The 20,512-nt window shown below is 43.0% G+C and overlaps 1 protein-coding gene across 1 annotated transcript in view, besides 2 other annotated features; it reads right to left on the bottom strand.

Annotated features, from left to right (window-relative positions):
• Positions 1-478: 478 nt before the first annotated feature.
• HS3ST4 (heparan sulfate-glucosamine 3-sulfotransferase 4) overlaps positions 479-20,512 on the bottom strand; it is a 445,727-nt gene continuing 425,693 nt past the window's right edge. Inside the window, exon 2 of the mRNA NM_006040.3 lies at positions 479-2,552. Within this exon, the coding sequence (NP_006031.2) occupies positions 1,916-2,552 (637 nt within the window). The 3' untranslated portion in view covers positions 479-1,915. The remainder of the gene's footprint in view (positions 2,553-20,512) is intronic.
• Positions 4,018-4,530: an enhancer, noted in NCBI's record as "NANOG hESC enhancer chr16:26144955-26145467 (GRCh37/hg19 assembly coordinates)". NCBI's record gives its function as "activates a minimal SCP1, AML or CMV promoter by ChIP-STARR-seq in primed H9 embryonic stem cells {active_cell/tissue: H9 hESC(primed)}" and the evidence as "EXISTENCE:reporter gene assay evidence [ECO:0000049][PMID:30033119]".
• Positions 10,412-11,611: an enhancer, noted in NCBI's record as "MED14-independent group 3 enhancer chr16:26137874-26139073 (GRCh37/hg19 assembly coordinates)". NCBI's record gives its function as "activates an origin of replication core promoter dependent on BRD2, BRD4, P300/CBP and CDK7 cofactors, and independent of MED14, by STARR-seq in HCT116 cells {active_cell/tissue: HCT116}" and the evidence as "EXISTENCE:reporter gene assay evidence [ECO:0000049][PMID:35650434]".

Below are 20,512 nucleotides of genomic sequence, written 5' to 3'. Positions count from 1 at the left end.
GACTCTGATGGGTAGGGAGGGCTGAAACTCACTCACTCCTTGCTCTGCTTATGAAACCAAACCCCGCATGAGTCCCACAGTTTGCCCTTCTAAATATGGGTGCATTTTCTTCCTTCAAATGTACATGCACGCATTTTGATCTGTTTCTTCTTTTACATTGATAGTGCAGGTATATCTGTTGCTTTCAGCTCAATAACTGCTTTACTATCTGGAAAAATTATTTGTAAGGTTGCTTTTGAATCTGGCATATCAGTCCATTCCTTGTTGGAAATGGTTAAGATAGGAAAAAGCTGCACTCCTTTTAGGACCCACTTGCTTTGTACTATTGCAAGATTCACTGTGCCCTGCAGACAGAACCTTCTGAAGATTCTTGCCTCTGGGACTTTCTAGCCATCTCAGAGAGATGATGCTCCTGGCATTCCAGGGGAGGCGGGAAGATGGAGATGATCAACACAAACACACCATCGAAACTCATTAATCAGGTTGCATTAAGCTTTATAACAACACGGTTTTCATTTAGCGGGAGAAATGACAGTTTAATAACAGCTGAACAGATTTAACTCCCCCCACTCATACAAATTTCCAGTTTTACTAGAACAATTCCTGGTTTTGGAGATCTGTGAACAAGTGCTTTATGTCAAATGATGCATTTTAATTGAATCAAACTGATGGGAAGGGACACTTCATTCAGCAGCTCTTGATGGGGGTTTCTGCAGACAGCCCTTGCTCACCCCCAACCCTCATAAACTGGATCTGATGAATGGAGTCAGCTTTCTCGCCACTACCTCACTCTCTGCCATCTCTAAATAGAGAAAATGAAGCCCGAGGAGGTGGTGGTGGGGCAAATTGGAAGAATGCTGACTGCTCCTTTCTCCATTACATGGCTAAGGATTATTCCTAATAACAGACTTGTCAACTCTCTGGTCTTTGCCCTTCTAGGGACCCTAGGGGACAGAGTCCACCCCAAAAACATGCTCAGAACTACAGTGCTTGGGAGAGATGGTCTTCAGGTAAGGTAACCTCCCACCAAGAGGACAGGATTTCTTCTTTTACCCCCAGATATGGCCACTCATCTCTGCCAACCCCAGAGCTCTGACCTCGGTTACAATTACTCTACTCTTTGAGCAGCCCTGTGGGCCTGATCCGAACACAAGGGCATATGCTAAGCTTCTGCACAACCCAGGATACTCATGAAGAGTGAGACCCAACCCCATTTAGAGGGCTCTTGGAAAGAAGGCTTCGAGGTGTGTCAGCTTTCATTTTCTTCTGTGTGTGTGTGTGTGGGTGGGTGTGTGTTTTCTTTTTCAGTGAGGAATGTGCATGCCTCTGCCTTCATGATGTGGGGAGGGAGGAAGTCAGGGGTTGTGGGATGAGACCTTTAAAGAGAAGACTAGAAACACCTTAGAGGGAGGACCTTGCTCCCTAGGAGTCCTGGAGCACTCAGCCACAAAGTGCATTCTGGGGAGAAGCCCAAGCAGAGGTTTAGACAGCAGGTGCCCATGACAGATACAGGGCTAGAACCCTGGCTCCCCAAGCTAGAGTGAGAACCCCTATAAAGCAGACCTTTTTTGTCGCTCACATATACATTAATAGCACTGTCTCTGACATTGACAACTATTTATCCTCTGTCTTCAGGCTATATTAACTAGCAGAAGATAAGAATGAACAGTGGGTTCTGGTGGCCATCTGGTCAACCAGATGCTGCTGCCCAGATGGGCCTGGTTCCTCCATGGGGATGCCATGGGATCCACCTGTTTGCCTAAGCTAACAGCACTGGAGGCAATCCTGGCTGCATGAAGGAGGAGGAGATCTACTTGGCACTCCAGCAAGTGAAGCTGCAGAAGCTGGGGTATTCAAGGACTCAGGCAAGGAGCCTCCTTAGCTTATTGACTAGCCTTCCTCTGCCTCTCTAGCCTCATTTATCACCCTCTTCCTGTTCCCACTGAAAATCTTGACCAGTCATTTGGTAAAACATCAAGTTGAAGGGTTTGTAGAATTTCCTCAGTCTGTGGATGACATCTGGGTCAATGCGAGGATGAGTCCGACCTTTGCTCTTGCCTAAGCACCTCGGGGCACTGCTGTCTTCTGGCTTCTTTAGGCAAGGGAACCCCTTGGTTTTGTTGAAATAGAAATGCTTCTCAGTCACAACACGTTTGAGGCCTAGAAAATCCTGTACTTTGGCCATTTCCCCGGCGGGGTCCACAATGAGTCGCTCACCACTGACAAAGAGGATCTGGGAGAGGGGGAAATACTGGAGCCAGTTTTCCAGATGCAGCGCATAGATCCCTATTCGAATGGCACTCCAGGAAGCATCGATCAGCCCGAGGGTCCGGTTTTTGAAGGCCAGCACCTCAAAGGTGGGGATCTCGGGTTTCTTTGACAGTGTCTGCGTGTAGTCAGAGATGGCCCTGGTCACGGGGTTTCTCACCACCACAATCAGTTTGATGTCCTTGGCCATGGAGTGAATGCGCTTGGGAGCCTCATTTGTCACAAAGTAACTTGGAGTCTTCTCCATGGTTATTTGCCCATCCAAAGTCTTGGGCATCACATTTCTAGGAGAGGGAGGAAAAAGGAAGAGAATGGTTATTCCTGTCCAGAAATATCTGAACTTCTTTGCACAAAATGTGTGATATAAACAACCTAGTTTGGAACCACCAAATAAAATTGATAAACTCTTGCAAGTTCTTCTTACCTATATCTCCTGACTATAGTCTTACCCTGGCTACGTATTATCAGAAAAGGCAACACAAGGCATATACATTCTCTCCCTTATATATCCCTAGGTTTAAATGGCTATTCTACCTCTTACCAGTTATGTTTAACCTAGATACACCCTTGATTTCTCTACGTATTAGTTGTATAATCCCTGAAACAGAGATAATGATAGCACTGACTTCACACTGTAGTATAAGGATTAAGGGAGATAATGCTCAAAAAGCATTGAGCAATGAAGCTGGCATGTGTAAGAGTTCAATAAATTAAAGAAATTATTATTGTTATAGTAGTTTTTAGAAAATCTTTGAGCTCAACAAGACCTCAAAGCTTATCTAGTCCAGGATTGGCAAACTACCTCCTGCCTCCTATTTTCGTCTAACTCACAGATAAGAATGATTTGTAATCACTGAATTGTTGTTGAAAAAAAAACCAAAAAGATAATAATAATATTTTGTGATGCATGAAAATTATATAGAATTCAAATTTCAATGTTTATAAATAAACTTCCATTGGAACACAGCCACATTCATTCATTTACATATTCATCTAGGCTGCTTTTACAGTAAAACAGCAGAGCTGAGGAGGTAAGACAGAGGCCATATGGCCCAAAGCCTAATGTATTTACTCCTTATTCCTTTAAGAAAGAGTCTGCTGATCCCTGACTTGGTCCAAAGGTATTATTGTGCAAATGAGAAAACCGAAGCCCAGGGACAGGGAATAAACATGGAAATCAGACAGGCTTTGTGACCTCAGCAAATTGAATTATATCTTCGAGCCTTATTATCCTCATTTGTAAAATCCTAAAACCTACCTCAAATCCCAGCACTTTGGGAGGCTGAGGAAGGCAGATCACAAGGTCAGGAGTTCAAGACCAGCCTGGCCAATATGGTGAAACCCCATCACTACTAAAATACAAAAATTAGCCGGGCATGGTGGCACGCGCCTGCAGTCCCAGCTACTTGGGAGGCTGAGGCAGGAAAATCACTTGGACCCAGGAGGCAGAGGTTGCAGTGAGCTGAGATTGTGCCACTGCACTCCAGTCTGGGTGACAGAGTGAGACTCCATCTCAATCAAAAAAAAAAAAAAGAAAAGAAAAGAAAAGAAAAGAAAAGAAAAGAAAATTCAGTTGAGAGGAAAATGACATATAAGATGAAAGATCTAGCATAGGTATGGCTCAATATATGGGATTTTATTCTTTCTTTGCTCCCAAAATTGCCCAGAAAGCCACTGACAGATCCCATACCAGGGTCAGTATCTCTTGGTTCCTTTGCTAAGGCTGCTCCTCCACTCCCATTCCTCCATCCGAGTTTGCCTCCAGAGTAGCCTTATCTTATTTGGGAGCTCCAAGATATTAATATTAAAGGGGTTTGATGCCATTTTCCCCTAATCTCAATGTGGCAGGCTTATCAATGATAAAATTAAGCTTAGAATGCCATTATACAGTCAATTTGCTACAGGCATATGTAGACCAAAGTTAATTGAAGATAAACCTGTTCAATACCTGTCAGTACAGCAGGCCATCTGCCACCATGTGCTCCATTAAATCTATTCACTTCTGAGCCTTGCACCAAAGTGGTGCATTTAGGATTACACAAGACCTCTTTGTTATGATGACATGCTTTTAAATGTCTTAGCTAATAAAACTTAATACAGACAAAGATCCCCTAGCTTCTCCTACCATAATTAAATTTATTTACTATCGCGTGTGTGGAGAAAGAATGACTTTTCTTTTATCTCTAATTCACATGCTCTGTCAATAATTAATTGCAACTGGGTTTTGAGCTATCTCGGCAAGCACTTTTATGAGGCAAGAGGAATTTGCCTCGTAGAGAAATTCACAAAGAGCTGGATGTTGTTAGTATAATGGTTGGGCAGCGTGGTGTTTTCAGATCAAAGCAATAGCCCTGGCCATAAACAACCATGCTCATCTTGGAGTGACATATTCTCCAAAGTAGTTTGAATGCCTTTGTGTGTGTCTGTTTGGTTCTCAACAGATCAATTTGTCTAATTTGGAGGAACAGGGCTAAGGAATGCAGCCCCTGGGAATCAGATTTGCCTGAATTAAGAGTTCTGATTACCCATGCTACCTTGATGAAGTTACTTAACCCATTTTGACCCTTAATGTTTCATCAAAGAAAATAGGGTTAATAAAAGGCCATGCCTCATAGGATTTTAATGAAGATTAAATGTCATAATGCAGGTAAATCACTTGGGATCATGCCGGTTCAATGTCAGAATTTTTTTAACTTAAGCCAGCTGGCCAAAATCAGGATTATTCTTACAGTAATTCTTACAGAAGGGCAAGGAAAAAAAAAATACTTCATTTGACCAAATGGAAAAGGCAGGAAAACATGGTATCTAAGGAACTGATCTAGAAAAAAGTATACTCTAATTCATGCCAATATCATCAATTGCACTTCCGGATCTGGAGGCTGGTGTCCAACAAGGGAGCTACCATTAGCTCAGCCTGAGTATAGGAAATATACTGACCATCTTATTTTTATTTCAAGTGGAGAGATATATTCCCTTGTTTCATTATGCAACTCATATCATATTATAAAAATATTAGATAAATCTTGATGCAAAAACACATCACCTGAAAATAGCTATTTTTATACGGCCTTTTCCAGATTTTAGTTCCCCTGATGTACTTTTGACACACAAAACTAAACACATTATTTTGTTGCATTTTTCTTTAGTGTAGGAGCAGCTGCTCAACTTTTCTTTTCATCCATTCTTCACCTTTGCCTTCTTAGACCTCAATGCTTCTCTTTGCACTGAGCCCCATTCAAATTCATCTCCTTTACTTCAGCTGATTGACGATCTGTCAAGATCTTTGTGGATCTTGAGTCTTTTATCTGAAGTATCTGGGACAAAATGGTACCCAACATATAAGCTGGTAGATTTAGCAGAGTAGATGTGTGCCTAACTTACTGCTTGTTGCAAAAGGAAATAAGAGAAGGCATTGCAGAAGGCTTTGGAGACAGTAGAGGGGAGCAGAGGAGACTAAATAGCTTTGACCTTCATGCTACCCATGAATGTGAAAAGTATATACTTTAGGAGAGTTTTTGCATTTGGGGCACACATGGGGAGACTATCTCATTGAGCCATGATTCAACCAATGTGGCATGAGTTATCCAGTTATTTTGTCAGTGAGAAGATATCCAGTAGTTGCTTGAAATCTATAAAGGACAAAGCTCCCTTTCCTCAAACTGATTCTGAATCAGTTATAGTCATTCATTCATTCTTTCATTCATTCCATAAATGATCACTATGGGTAATGTAACAGTAAACAAAACGGATGCAGTCCCTTCCTCCACTAAGCTACCAGTCTAGCTCCCACAGCTGATACATAAAGAGCTCTTTATAGCATCATATAATGAAGTATTTAAATCAACAGAGCAGGCATCATTATTACTCCAGTTTTACAGAGAAGGAAACAGGACCAGAAGCTAAAGATTTGTTCCAAGGTCTCACTAAGTATGTATTTTGTTTCTAAGTTGAGTGGCTGAGCAAGAGTAATTCAACACCAGGATCGGTGACAGGTCCTGGCAAATAACAGGTTCTCAGTGCCTATCTGTTGAGTGAATAGATGGGTGAATGACAAGCCATTAATCTCCACTCCTAAGTGTAGGCCAGTCCTAATGCTAGGTTTTTGTTGTGAAAGGTTTTGATGCCTTAATCTTCCTTTTCCCCACTTTCATCTCTCACCTGGGGCTCCGATCCAGTAACTACTTCCAAACCATGCTGGTCTCCCTCTTCCTGTAAGATTAGAGGAGGCATCCCTCCTGTGGATAGGACAAAACCCCCTGCTAACCTGGGCTTTGGATCTTATTCTCTTCCAACCTTTCAGGCACTTTTTCTCTCAATTTCTCTTCTCTCTTCTAGGTTTTAAGTAAGTTCATTTTAACTGCATCTGACACTTCAATATACTCATGTTCTCACATTTTGGTGTGCTTGAGAAACAGAAGGAAGACCAGTAACGCTGGAGGGCAGTGAGCAAAGGTAAGAGAGTCAGAAAATAGGGCCAGGAAGACAGACAGGGAATAGACTATGGAGGGCCTTATGGGCCATGGAAAAGGTACTGGAATTGTTTTCCTCATGTGATGAGAAGCCACTGAAGAATATCTCACAGAAGAATGTGATAAAATTTACACTTAATTTTATTTTTCTGGTAACTTTGCTGAGAAAAGATAGGAGTGTGGCAGAGATAGAAGGAAAGTAACCTGCTAAGAGACAATTTTAGGAGAGAAAGAGAGAAATGGTGGGGGGCCTGGGTGTAGGTGGAGAGGGCAACACAGAAAGAAGTGCTCAGAATAGGAGTAGATTTTAAAATAAGGCCAGAAGTCCTTAATGATGGGTGGGATGTATGTGCAAGAGAAAGAGAAGCATCACAGGTGACACCAACATTGTTGGCCTGTGCCAGTGGCTACATGGTAGCATGATTTACTGATGTGGACACTACTGGGAACAGGGCAGGTTTTAGGGGAAGATACCAAGTCAATTTCAGACTTGTAATATGAGATATGTCCTACATACCCAGGTGGAGGGATTGAGTAATCATGTTGACACAGGAGGCTGAAATCCAAGGGAGATCCAGATAAGAAGTGGACATCTATGTCCTGTGTTCAAGTTCCACCTGCCAGGGAGTAGGGAGAAGAATGTCTGCCCTCTTTACCTTTGTTAGAAGAAGACACGACTGTCCTCTGCCTATGCTGGGAGTTCTCTCAAAACTGAAAGGTGTTCAGATGCTAGGTGTGCAAAAAAAATTGTGTTTTATTTCATTACAAAGATGTTCATGAACTTCTTCTAATTCCCAGAGTCCTTGTTAACTACCTGCGTTACAGGGCTTAGAATAATGTCATAATATGATTTGTTCCCATGTCTTTCATGGCTAGTCTCAGTTCCTTGGGGCTGTAGGCAAAGTTTTAATCACCTTTGTATCCCCAGCGCCAAACACAGTGTCTGACATGTACTAGCTGCCCCATTACTATTTGTGGTTACTGGATGAAAAACAAACGACATTCCAATGAATACATGGTCTCTGGAAGTCAGGAGAACTGGGACATGCAGGACATGGCTCATCTAAGTAGGTGTTCCATGCATGGGGTTCAGCGTTTCTGACTTTCCTCCCATCCCTGTCTGAAAGACCATGCACTTCAGCGTGAACCATATGGTGAGAAAACACTGCATCTGGGCTTGGCACAGCTCGTTAACAGTATCTTGGGCGCTCAGAGCAGCCGTGACATCAGCGTCAACACACAGTCCTGAAGCGAGAATCATTCCGCAAGATCACACATCTGCTCTCACAGCCCCAAATGTTTATGAGACACTCTCCAACTCACTCGCCCTGTCCCCACTGCACTCTCCTGGTCCTGGTGCTTTGCTAAGAACAGCCCAGTTTCTCTTTTGAAAGAGTTAGGGTCTCACTCTGTTGCCCAGACTGGAATGCAGTGGTGCGATGATGGCTCACTGCAACCTTGAATTCCTGGAGCACAGCCACTTTTGAATGCAGGTCAGCCTCTGGGGTCCTCACAGAAACAATAACAATAGTTAACATGCAGCCTAGACTGAGCACAGCCATTCACTGAGTGCTCACTCCATGCTATGTTCTGAGGCTGAGAGTGCAAATTCTGAAGCTAGACTGACGTCTCCAAGCATTTTCAGACATTGGACTCACCAGCCCAGTAGTTAAGATCAGAGACTCCAGGATCTAGACTTACCAAGTTTGCATCCACTGATTAACTGTGTGATCCTTGGCAAATTACTTAACTTAAGTAATATGGGTCTATTTCATTATTTGAAAACCAGGCATCATACTAATAATACCCCTTCTCATGGGGAGTTTGAGAGGATGAAATGACTTAATATCTTGAAGAGTGACTCTCATAGAGTAAGTTCTCAATGCAGTAGCTATTAATTTTTAAAACAACTCTTTAAATAAGGTTTTATTGTAATCCCCACTTTACGGATCAGGAAACTGAGATCCAATGACTTGATTAATTTACCCAAAGCGAGAAGAGGTGGAGTCGGAATTCAATCCCAAGTCTGTCTGACACCATAGCCCAAGCTCTTGGCTACTGCCTGACAATGCTTAACCAAACTGTAAAACCTCAGCAAGGTTACATGACTGGCCCAAGGTCACTTGTAGGTGGCAAAGTTGAATCTTAAAAGGAGACACATTATGTGTTCTGCAAAGCTGAGCTATCCCTGACTTGCCACTGGGAGTTACAGACACCCAGACCAGAATCCCTAGAAATTCTTGCCAGATCAAGCTACATCATTCAATTTGTGACATCTCTCTCCAGGGCCTCCTCAATTGAAGCAAATGGATACCATCATGAATGTCGAAGGAGAAAGCAATCACCCGGATTAGATATAAAGTGCCCATTCTCTCTGGAAGGGTCAGGAGTGGAGCTTGCCTTTGGCTTGCCTGAATTAGAGGTGTGTGGGCATCTTACATTTTCCCAAATGTGTTATCCAGTGGAACAAATGGTGCATAAATTAGCAATATTTTCTGAGCCCTGCTGATGAACCCAAGAGGATGGTGGTTACAGCAAGGGCATGGGGTGAAGCAGGGCCAGTTCCCCTGCACAGAAGAAAGAAACTCAAAATTCAATGGAGCACCTGCTTACTTGCCAAGCACTGAGCAGGGCAATTTCACGTATTATCCTAGTTAAGTCTCACAAGTACCATACAATTCACTGAGCCCATTATAGAGATGCAAAAACTGGAAGTCAGAAAGACAAAGAACCTTGTCCAGGGATGCATAGCCAAGACCTTGCCCTGCCCAGTTATGCTGGAAAGTTCATTGTGTTTTTCAAACCAAAATTCATGAATTCTGAAAATCCTGAAGGCAAAAAGTCAAACCATTTGGAGACTACATTCTTAAATAGAAACCCAAGAACAGGATCTGTACATATGGCCCTGAGGCTCTAGGGCTTTCAGTAAAATTGCAGCCAAGAAAGAAGGAATCCTGAGTTATGGTTCTGACTGAATAGCTAACTTGCTGAATTAAGTAAGAACAGGGACTTTCCCTCCCTGGACCTCAAATTGCTTTGCAACAAGAGGGTCAGGTTAAAAGATATTCCCTCATTAATTCCACTGAGTATGTATTGGTGCTTATTACGTACCAACTATGGGGTATATGTTGATGATAAAGCAGGCATGGTCCCTGCCCTTCAATAGACTGTATGTTTTTGGAGGAAAGGTCTGTATATCCCATTTAGTAACATGATCTGTGGTTCAGATGGGACATTTTTGCTGTCCCATCAAACAGAATGATAAGTGTCAAATCTCAGCTGCATTGCCACATGCCTACGAGAGAGGAGACAGAAAGGAATGGGACAGAGAAGAGGAAAGGAGGAAGAGGAGGAGCAAAGGATGAAAGATGAAGGAGACTAGAAGGTAAAATAAGGAGGAATAAAGATAAGAGGAAGAATGGGAGGAGAAGGGGAAAGAGGAGCTCGGCTTGGAAGATGCACAAATAATTGAAATACTGAGAAAAAATGAAAGAAGCATCCCAGGTTTAAATAACACATGACCACACATTGGGAGAAATTTTCAAACTGAGGTCTCAAGCAATATTTGTTGTTTTAAAGTTTGTGCCAGGCAGGTACATATGTTTTAGGATGAGAAGGTTTAGGTTTGTCAGAGACATTCCACTGAGGTTGTAGTGGCAATAGCCCTACCAAAGCAGGCTGAGAAGGTAGATACTCATTATTCCCCATGATATCCGTGAGTAATCTGAGGCTCAGAGAAGTTAAGTGTCTTGCCTAAGATCACACAGCTCGTATGTGGCAGAGTCAGGATCTGAAACCCAGCAGAGCCAATGCTCCTTAACCCCATTCAGTGTGACAAAGGAGAGGAAGATCCAGAATGGAACTAGAGGCAGGAGAAGGAGACAGAGCAGTGATTTCAGGAGGAGAAATGAGGGTTTGTCAACATTCTTACTTGGGGAAAGAATCCCTGGTAACAACAGACATGAATTTTGTTTTGTTTTGAGTAAGGATCTCACTATGTTGCCCAGGCTGGTCTGAAACTTCTGGTTTCAAGCAATCCTCCTGCCTTGGCCTCCCAAAGTCCTGAGAGTACTGGCGTGAGCCATCGTGACTGACTCAGACAGGAAAGTTCACCAGGTCTTAAGGCATGGCAGCAGGGATGTGGTCCAGATCAAGGGGAGCAACGTTTAGGAATTTCCTGCTTAATGGCTTTGATTTTCCCAATGACAGAAGAGTAGGGTCGATTGCTGAGCTTAAGGACCTTGGGAGTGGGACTGGAAAGGGAACAGAATGTAGATGGATGATATATTAACAATTTATGGATTATGATGGCCTGTTGAGAAATTATCTTATGTTTGATTTTGCTTCCAGAGACTCATCTGGAAGACAGAGGACTCATCACCACCCCCACCCACCACCACCACCATCACACACTCCCATTGCCAAGGAGGGTAGCTATTCCCTTATTCCCATGGTCCGGCTAATTTTTATCTCCAGGGAGGGTGAACAGTTTCTCTATTTTGTGGACTAAAAAAGATGTTAGAGCATCCTAGACAAACCCACTGAGAGGTCTTCATGTTTCAAAAATCTAGGTCTTACCTAGGGTTTCTTAACTTCAGCACTGTCAACATTCTGGGATGGATAATTCTTTGTAGTGGAGGCTGTCCTGTGAATTTTAAGATGGTCAGAAGCACTCCTGGTCTCTACCCGCCAGATGCCATGGCACCCACCAGTCATGACAACCACAGATGTCTGCAGACACTGCCACATCCCCCTCAGGGGTCCAAATGATCCCCTGTTGAGAGCCACGAGTTTAACTGATCTAACCAAACTGCCTAGACTTGTCTACCCAAACTGCCTTGATTTGAATCTAGGCTCTGCCCTTCATTAGAGGTGGGGCTTTGGGCAAGTTACTTAGCCTGTCTCTGCCTAGATTTTCCCATACGTAAAATGGGATGATAATAAAAATTGTAACACATATCTCAGAAGGTTGTTTTAAAAATGAAATGAGTTCATGTGTGTACTGTCTTTATTGCCTAAAACATCATAAGCGCTATATAAGTGTTTGCTATCATTATTGTGGGTGTGGTTATACCACTGAGACAACCTGCAGGCTGCATCCCAGCTCCTGAAAGCAAATATCTGAGATTGCTTAACACAGAGCTCTGGATATGGGAAAATTCCTGTGTGGATTTTTGTGTGGCTGAGTACTAAGTATTAAGTTTTTGAAGACCTTCTGGCCAACATTGACTCAGAGGGTGTGCAGACATCAACAAAGCCAAGTCCCATGTGACCAAGAGAAGATGAGGGACACTCTCTTATGGCCCTGGGTTGTGCCACAAGTGGTGTCAGAGGCGGGTCTGAATAATGACTGGTAAAGGACTTCTGTTCAAAGTAGCAACATGAATTTCAAGCCAGGTTTAATTTGAGTTAGAACATAAGAATCTTTCTTAAAACCTAAGAGCTAAGGAGTAATTTATCTGTTCTACAGAAGATAACTAGCAAAATACACTGAGTATCCAGATGAAGTTGGAAATTATAATTTGAACTGACAATGACCTACTCAGCGTTCAGGTTCCAGGCGTACATTTAAAGACAAGTGCAAGGCAGCTATAGCAGAATGACTGAGAGATAAGAAAACTGAGGATGCCTGTGAGTGCTCAAGCCTTGGGCCCTATTTCTGTCCCCAGCCAGGCGATGAGCGAAGGATTTTAGGAGGGAGTGGATGAACAAGAAGACAGTGAGGACTAAGGACATAGAAGGTGGACTAAGGACATAGAAGGCTTGATGTAGACATTGGATATGAAGGCTTGACTGCCCCTCTGGGTATAACGTGAAGAGAGAATGGAATTATTTCCATGCTTTTCTTGAGGATTCTACTAAAGCAGGGGTCCCCAACCGCTGGGCTGCAGACCAGTACTGGTCCATGTCCTGTTAGGAGCGGGGCTATACAGCGGGACGTGAGTGGTGGCCCAGTGGGCATTACTGCCTGAGCTCCACCTCCTGTCAGATCAGCAGCATCATTAGATTCTCATAGGAGTGTGAACCCTATTGTGAACTGCGGAAGCAAGAGATCTAGGTTGTATGCTCCTTATGAGAATCTAACTAATGCCTGATGACCTGAGGTGGAACAGTTTCATCCTGAAACCATCCCCACCCCACCCCCATCTGTGGAAAAAATTGTCTTCCACAAAACTGGTCCGTGGTGCCAGTTTGGAGACCTCTGTGCTAAAGCAAAAATAATACTGACGAATTTCTGAAGATATCATCATAAACAAATAAGGTGAGAGAGCAGACTATCAGAAGAGCTACCAACCAGAAAGAGGAAGAGAGAGAATATGAGAATAGATTCAACTTTGAGAACTATTTCAACAAATGATGTTCGTGATGCTTTTCTGAGTACACCCAAGCATCATAAACCACTTTTGGATGGACTTTATCTCAAAGGATCAAAAGTTAAGGACACTGCCTATGCCATGGGGCAAGTTCCTCAAACTTTATGTCCAGAGACATAAGAAAAGACAAATAAAAATAAGAAAAGAGAAAAGCCCTTTTCAGTTCATTTTCACCTCTACAGCAGGTTGGCTCATAGCTTTTCAAAGGTAGCTTCTTCTCTCTCAAATGAGGATAAAGAGGACTTTGAAGTTCCTCATCAACTCTAATGGTGTTTTCACTCCCTCAATAATAGTCAAGAGCTGTTCACACATAATAGAAGGCCCCCACAGCTATGTTCTTGGATCAGGCTCCAAAGAGAAACTGGCTTGTTGGATTCAGGGCAAGTGGCACTTTCTCTGGTGCTCAGAAGAGTGTGTAGGGGTCACAGGCATGTCTGAATACCTCATGAGAACATAGAAGTCTATCACAGAGGGTTGAAAGCCTTCTCTCCCATGCTCTTAACAGATTTCCACATTGTTCTCTTGTACTACGTATGTTTTCCTTCATGGGATCTGAGCTTTGGAACCCACTTTACTTATCCAAGTAATTACAATTTAAAAATTTGTATTTTATATATCAGAACTATATACAATTGCTTATTAGTGTTTCTTAAAGGAAAACCAAGGTCACTATACTGAAATAAGTCTTAGCTTAGAGAGAAAGAGAAAAAAAAGAAAACTACAGAAAAAAACTCTTCGTTTGTTCATGAATTTAGCAACTATAGCATGGCAGGAACTCTGCTAGTATTAGAAGATAAAACAAAGAGCAAAACCTTGCCCTTAAAAAGTTTTTGGGCTGGGTGCAGTGGCTCATGCCTGTAATCCCAGCACTTTAGGAGGCCGAGGCGGGTGGATCACCTGAGGTCAGGAGTTCAAGACCAACCTGACTCACATGGAGAAACCCCGTCTCTACTAAAAATACAAAATTAGACGGGTGTGGTGGCACCTGCCTGTAATCCCAGCTACTCGGGAGGCTGAGGCAGGAGAATCGCTTGAACCCGGGAGCCGCAAGTTGCGGTAAGCTGAGATTGCACCATTGCACTCCAGTCTGGACAACAAGAGCAAAAAAAAAAAAGTCTCAAAACAAAAAAAGAAGTTTTCATTTTCTAAAATAGGAAAGATGGTATATATCCATCATGGAATACTATGCAGACATAAAAAGGAACAAAATAATGTCTTTTGCAGCAACTTCAATGGAGCTGGAAGTCATTAATCTAAGTGGAGTAACTCAGGAAGGGAAAACCAAATATCGCATGTTCTCACTTATAAGTGGGAGCTAAGCTATGAAGGTGCAAAGCCATAAGAATGAATAATGGACTTTGGGGACTTTGGGGGAAGGCTTGGACAGGGGAGTGAGGGATAAAAGACTACATATTGAGTATAGCATACACTGCTCGGCTGACAGGTGCACTAAAATCTCAGAAATCACCACTAAAGAGCTTATTCATGTACCCCAAAAACTATTGAAATAAAAAGTATTAAAAAAGAATTTTTCATTTTCTGAAATAGTACAAATTGTTTGAGAGGTCTCTCGTTATCTCTTAGGACTCACAGTGGTCAAAGACTTTCAGGGTAGGAATCACTGGCCAAGGGTCAACTGAATTCCAGAGCCCACAAATGCCTCTTTTGGAAGCTGGCCAGGTGCATCGTCATCTTGACAGAGGTGTGTGGCTAAGGAAGTGTTGAGTCTCTGGGTTCTATCTCTGAACCATACTTGCTTTGAGCAACTCATTTTTGTCTTTGATCCTCAGTTTTGTCCTCTGTCAAATGGGGATAATAACATCTCTTATTTATTTATAAGAAAAGATATCAGGCATCTTGGCACGGAGAAAATCTTGGTAATGCTCCCTCATGTTATCACTGCTAGCATTGTGGTGCACATAGTAGGTACAAACAGCCCCATCTGCTCTGTAGACAAAGGAGAAGAGCCCTGTTCAAGCCCCCGGTTTTTTTTTTTTTTGAGACAGAGTCTCACTCTATCACCCAGGCTGGGGTGCAGTGGCGCGATCTCAGCTCACTGCAAACTCCGCCTCCAAGGTTCAAGCAATTCTCCTGCCTTAGCCTCCCGAGTAGCTGGAATTACAAGCGCCCGCCACCACGCCCAGCTGATTTTTGTATTTTTTGTAGAGATGAGGTTTCACGTGTTGGTCAGGCTGGTCTCAAACTCCTGACCTCAGGTGATCTGCTGCCTCAGCGTCCCAAAGTGCTGGGATTTCAGACGTGAGCCACCACACCCAGCCCTGTTCAAATTCTTAATCTACATGACTATTACTGGTTGCATCATAGATGGGCCTTTATGTAAATGATGGCTCTGATTCACAGAAACCCACCTCTCAAATGGACATTGATACAACCCAGTCATAGAGTACCGAACAGCTTCAGTGTGGCATATATCCTAGTGAATTATTAGAAATCTCTTTCTCCTTACCACCTGAGGTGCGCAAGCATTTGGGAAGCCTCAATGCTGGGCAGGGCTTAGTCATTCCACCGGGCCCACGCCTCAAACTGCACAAACTGTAGGCATTGCTTTTATTTATTTCTGTCATCCCTGACCTTTTGCAATGTGATCATTGGTTTTTAATACCAATATGACTGGTTTTTAAAACCATTCATTGGTTTTTAATACCAATAGACCACCATACAACACAATTAAACCCTTCCATATCATTTGATTTAGAAAGCACATATGGACAGATAGTAACTATGAATTCAATAATCCCTTAAAATGCATTTGTGATTGAATCATCACTGAATCTACATGTTTGAAAGGTTGCCACGCATGTGTGTGTATGCGTGTGCATGTGTGTTGATATGTGATTTTTTTTTTTTTTTTTGCTTAGTTTATACTCAATGTTTAGTATCCATAGGGATGTGGAGGTCTCTTGCAATAATTCTTAAGTCCACAGGTTGGGTAGCGTGGATCTAAAATCTAAACCATTGCCTACCTATAACCTCAGATTTCATCACTGTCCTCATCCTGGCAACTCTCCTTCTACTCTTTTCTCTTTTGTGATTGCAACGTCTCACTTCAGGGTTCTAAGACAACATTTTCCCTGATTGTGAAATAACAAGATTATGGAACAAATTTCACCTGACCCTGACTGGGGTTCCCACCTGGAGTGTACTTCGCTGATACTTTATTCATAAACACTCAAAGAGTGCCCCTCTGCAGAACCTCACACACCAATGTCTGTTAGCTATTTTGTTGTGTTTTCTTTCCTTGGTCTCAGCGTTTTAAAGGGCAGGTGCAACAATTAAATGATGATTATGGAGGTCTCAGTGTGTCTGCACAGGCACTCGTGCTTACAGTTGAAAAGACAGTGACAACAGAGGGCTCCTCTCGGGAAGCCTGCGCTCCAGGTCTCTCCACCTCACACTCCACTCTGAGCTGTGTGCCAGCTCACCACTGCCTCAGGGATGCTGCCAGCCTGCCTTCCTTCTCACCTGCATCCTGCTACTGATCCAAGCCCTGTTTGCTCTCGCTGAGTCTTATTCTGTCACCCTTCTATGGGTCTGAGTCCTGCAGCCTCAAACAGCATGGACCATCGCAATTCTGAGCCTCAGAGCAATAAAGACACTACTCTTTCAGAAGATGACTTCCAATTTGCCAGGTTTTCATTCAGCTCTTGACTTTTCCTGGAACACCCTTTACTTTGTTCCACCTGCCTTTCAAGACACTACCATATTCTCCCGATGGAATCTCCACTAGTCGCATGTCCAGAAAATCACTTATTGACTGCTTATAGCTATGCCTCCTAAGCTCTGTCTTTTACCTACTTGGATGAACATCCCTCGAGCTGCCACAGCTGACTCAGTGGCTGTCTGTCCCTGGGATCCTGGCTCTGCCATCCTCTCTCGAAATAACTTTGGAAGACCTCCTTAACCGCCTCAAGCCTGAGTTTCTTCACCATATACAATTCCCATTTTATACAACAATTTTACACCATTCCAATCATGAGCAAGATCCATCTCAGAGCATGTTTCATCAGGATCAAAAGGCTTAGTGGTTAGGATGCACTTAGCAGGGTGCCTGAAAGGAATTAACTGCTCAGTACGCGTGTTAATTATTGTCGCTATTACACATGAAGCCCATTTCTTCATTGTGTATTCTCAGAGAATGTAATCTTAGGACCTGTGCCAATAGTGAGGTCATTTCATTTTTAGCCCATGTGCATCCTTAAAATGAACTTTCCTCTTTGTAAATAATTTGTATGTGTTTCTTCCTTGTGATCCAAGAAACCTGGTCAGCAAGACAGACAATGTTCAGCCAAAGCACTTGATATTTTATTGGTGAAAGCGTTGCTGGGGTCAATCATGCCTGGCTGCAGAAACTTGTAAAACACGTCAGTCAACATGGAAACATTCATCCATATACATGACAGGTGTCAGTGTTCCTGTGAAGAGCGAGTGTGTTCTGCCACACTGCCACGCACCAGCTCTAGAGTTTAGCTACAACTGAAATTTAGTGTTGAAGGGAACTTGTGCTTTCTGCTGAGTAAATTCAGCCAGAAGCCCCCTTTCCTCTACATTTGGCTACGACAGAAGAACGACCTTTTTACGAAGTGCCAAGGCTGGAGCCTTCTATCTTGTCCTTGAACTGTTTCCTTCAGACACTTGCATCCCCAAATCAAGAGCTTCAGCTTTAATGATGTAAAATATAATCATAAATTAATTAGTGTATCCTACGGTGGCTGTATTTAGACCTGACTTTCACAGCTTGGGGTGCATGAAATACTAAACAGATTTTTAAACCAATCAGTCTGATCATATAACAGAGGGAGAAATGATGGATAGACAGAAAAGGAGAGATGCATACACCTTGTGAGGTATTCACATACCTACACACTCTGCTATAAAGATTCTTATATTATCAGGCATTCATGCATGCTAATTCCCTGTAGAGTATCTGTCACACACATATACACACACACACACACACACATACACACACACACACACACTTCCTTCAGCTCTTCCCATAATAGGCTCCTTCTCTTATTCAGGTCTCAGTGCAAACTTCACCTCCTCATCTAGCAATCCCCCACCCCAAGAACCCCACCTAAAAACGTTCTCTTTCACATCAGCCTTTTCTGATCATTTCCTACGGCTTGCTGTTATCTGAAATTACCTTGTTCATATGTTCATTGCCTTGCGTAGAGTCCACCTGTCTCCTAAAGAATGCAAGCTCCTAAGAAGGGAGATGATTTTGCACTTTTCTATAGTTTGTGTGCTCCCAGCATGCCACATAGTGCCTGGCATGAAGTAGGCCTCGATAAATATTTGTTCAATGATGGAAGAAATAATGAAAAGCAGAAAAGAAGAGAAGGAGAAAGAAAGGAGGGAGAATAAAAAGGTGGGTGAAAGAAAAATGTGCCCAAATTGAGGCAGAGAATTATACCCAATAGATTTCCTAACACACCACATTGCAGCATCCCCTCCCTCCCCCAGCAGCCAGGTCGTGCCCACTCCAGGCTCCCTAACCTCAGGAGAGGGCATCACCATCCACTCAATTGCTCAGTCTAAAACCTGGGAATCAGCACGGATTCCTTGTTTCCTTACGCACCCTGCAGCACATCCAATAAGTGCATCTAGTCAGTCTGTCTGTGGCCTCTATTTCTAAAACATATTCTAAATTTAACTTCTTCTTCCCATCGCTCCATCATTCCTCTGCCACTTTGCTGTCTACAGCACTGCCTTCTCCAGCCTTGACTGCTCTAATGGCCCATCTCTCCCTGTCTTGTTCCTCTAAATGCCATTACCCACACTGAGCAAGAGTGAGTTTTCAACAGCCCATGCTAGCTGAGAGGGAGGTAGGAAATGCATAGTGGCTAAGAGCCTGGATGTTTAGTGTGGGATGTTTGGGCTCAGATACTAACTCTGCTATTTGCAGTGTACACAATCTGGGACATTACTTAACCTCCCTGTGCTTTAGTTTTTTAAATCAAAAATGAATACTCTAACGATAAGAATAATGTTTCATTGATACTATTATTGTGAGGATTGAGTAAGCCAATATACATAAAGACCATATAATAAAACCACCTAAGCATTAGTTGTTGTTATTGTTGCTATTATTACATCACTCCTGTGCTTAAATCCTTTCAAAAATGTCTCATTATGTTACAAAAAGTAAGTCCCTTTTCATGGATTACGAGCCCTATATGGTATGTTCTCCAACCTCATATCCCGTTTCAACAAAGTCCCAGCAACACCGGCCTTCTCTGTGTCCCCAAATACTCCACATTCCTTTCCCTGCAGGGACCTGGCATTTGATATTTCCTCATCCTGGAGTGATCTTTCCCCAGATCTTTGTACAGCTGGCTCCTCCTTGTCATTCAGCTCTTATATTAAATGTCTGGACCTGTGCCATCCAATATGGAAGGAACTAGCCACAAGTAGCTATTAATTTTAAATTAACTAAAATTGAATAAAATTAAGGATTCAATGTATCAGTTACACTAGCTGCATTTCAAGTGCCCAGTAGTTACGAATGGCTAGTGGCTACTGTCTTGGAGGTGCAGATATAGGCTATTTTCATCATCACAGAAAGTTCCATTAGACGATGCTAATTTAGCCCATCACTGTAGTTTTTGTGACATCTACATGCAACTTAAAAGTCATCTCTAGGCCAGGTGTGGTGGCTCAAACCCTGTAATCCCAGCCCTTTGAACTTTGGGAGTCCAAGGCAGAAGGATTGCTTGAACCCATTGCTTGAACCCAGGAATTCAAGACCAGCCTGGGCAACATGGCAAGATCTCATCTCTACAAAAGATTTTAAAAATTAGCCAAGTGTGATGGTGTGCACCTGTGGTCCCAGCTACTCAGGAGGCTAAGGTGGGAGGATTGCTTGAGGCCAGAAGTTGGAGGCTGCGGTGACCCATGATCACACCACTGCACTCCAGAGTGGGCAACAGAGTGAGACCCTGTCTTTTAAAAAGGCCATCTCTAAGAGAGACTTTCTGTGACCATTCTACCAAAAATAGCCCCTGACCCATCATTCTTTCCCATTGTTTTGTTTTATCTTCTTTAGCACACTCTGTGGCACTGGTCAGGATCTGGAATTAACTAATTTACTGGTTGGTTCACATTATTGCTGGTACCTCCCCACTTGGAATCAAGCACCATAATGGCAGATGTTGCCTTGTTCACTGCTGTATCCATATTACCTACAACAGAGCATGGTACATCATAGGTGCTTAATAAGTGAACAAATAAATGATTAATAAATGGCTCCTTCTGGATATGCAGCTTCACATTTTCACAAGCATACACACTCACTTTGTACACCCAAAGAGGCCACAAGCAGATGGGTGTGCTAAGCAGGGCTTGGGCTCCGGCAGGCCTCCATCTCATTGCTACCAG

The sequence above is a fragment of the Homo sapiens genome, chromosome 16, assembly GCF_000001405.40.
Source record: "Homo sapiens chromosome 16, GRCh38.p14 Primary Assembly".
Classification (NCBI taxonomy): Eukaryota; Metazoa; Chordata; class Mammalia; order Primates; family Hominidae; genus Homo; species Homo sapiens.
The sequence above is the reverse complement of the archived record's forward strand: the minus strand, read 5'-3'. Positions and strand labels throughout refer to the sequence as shown.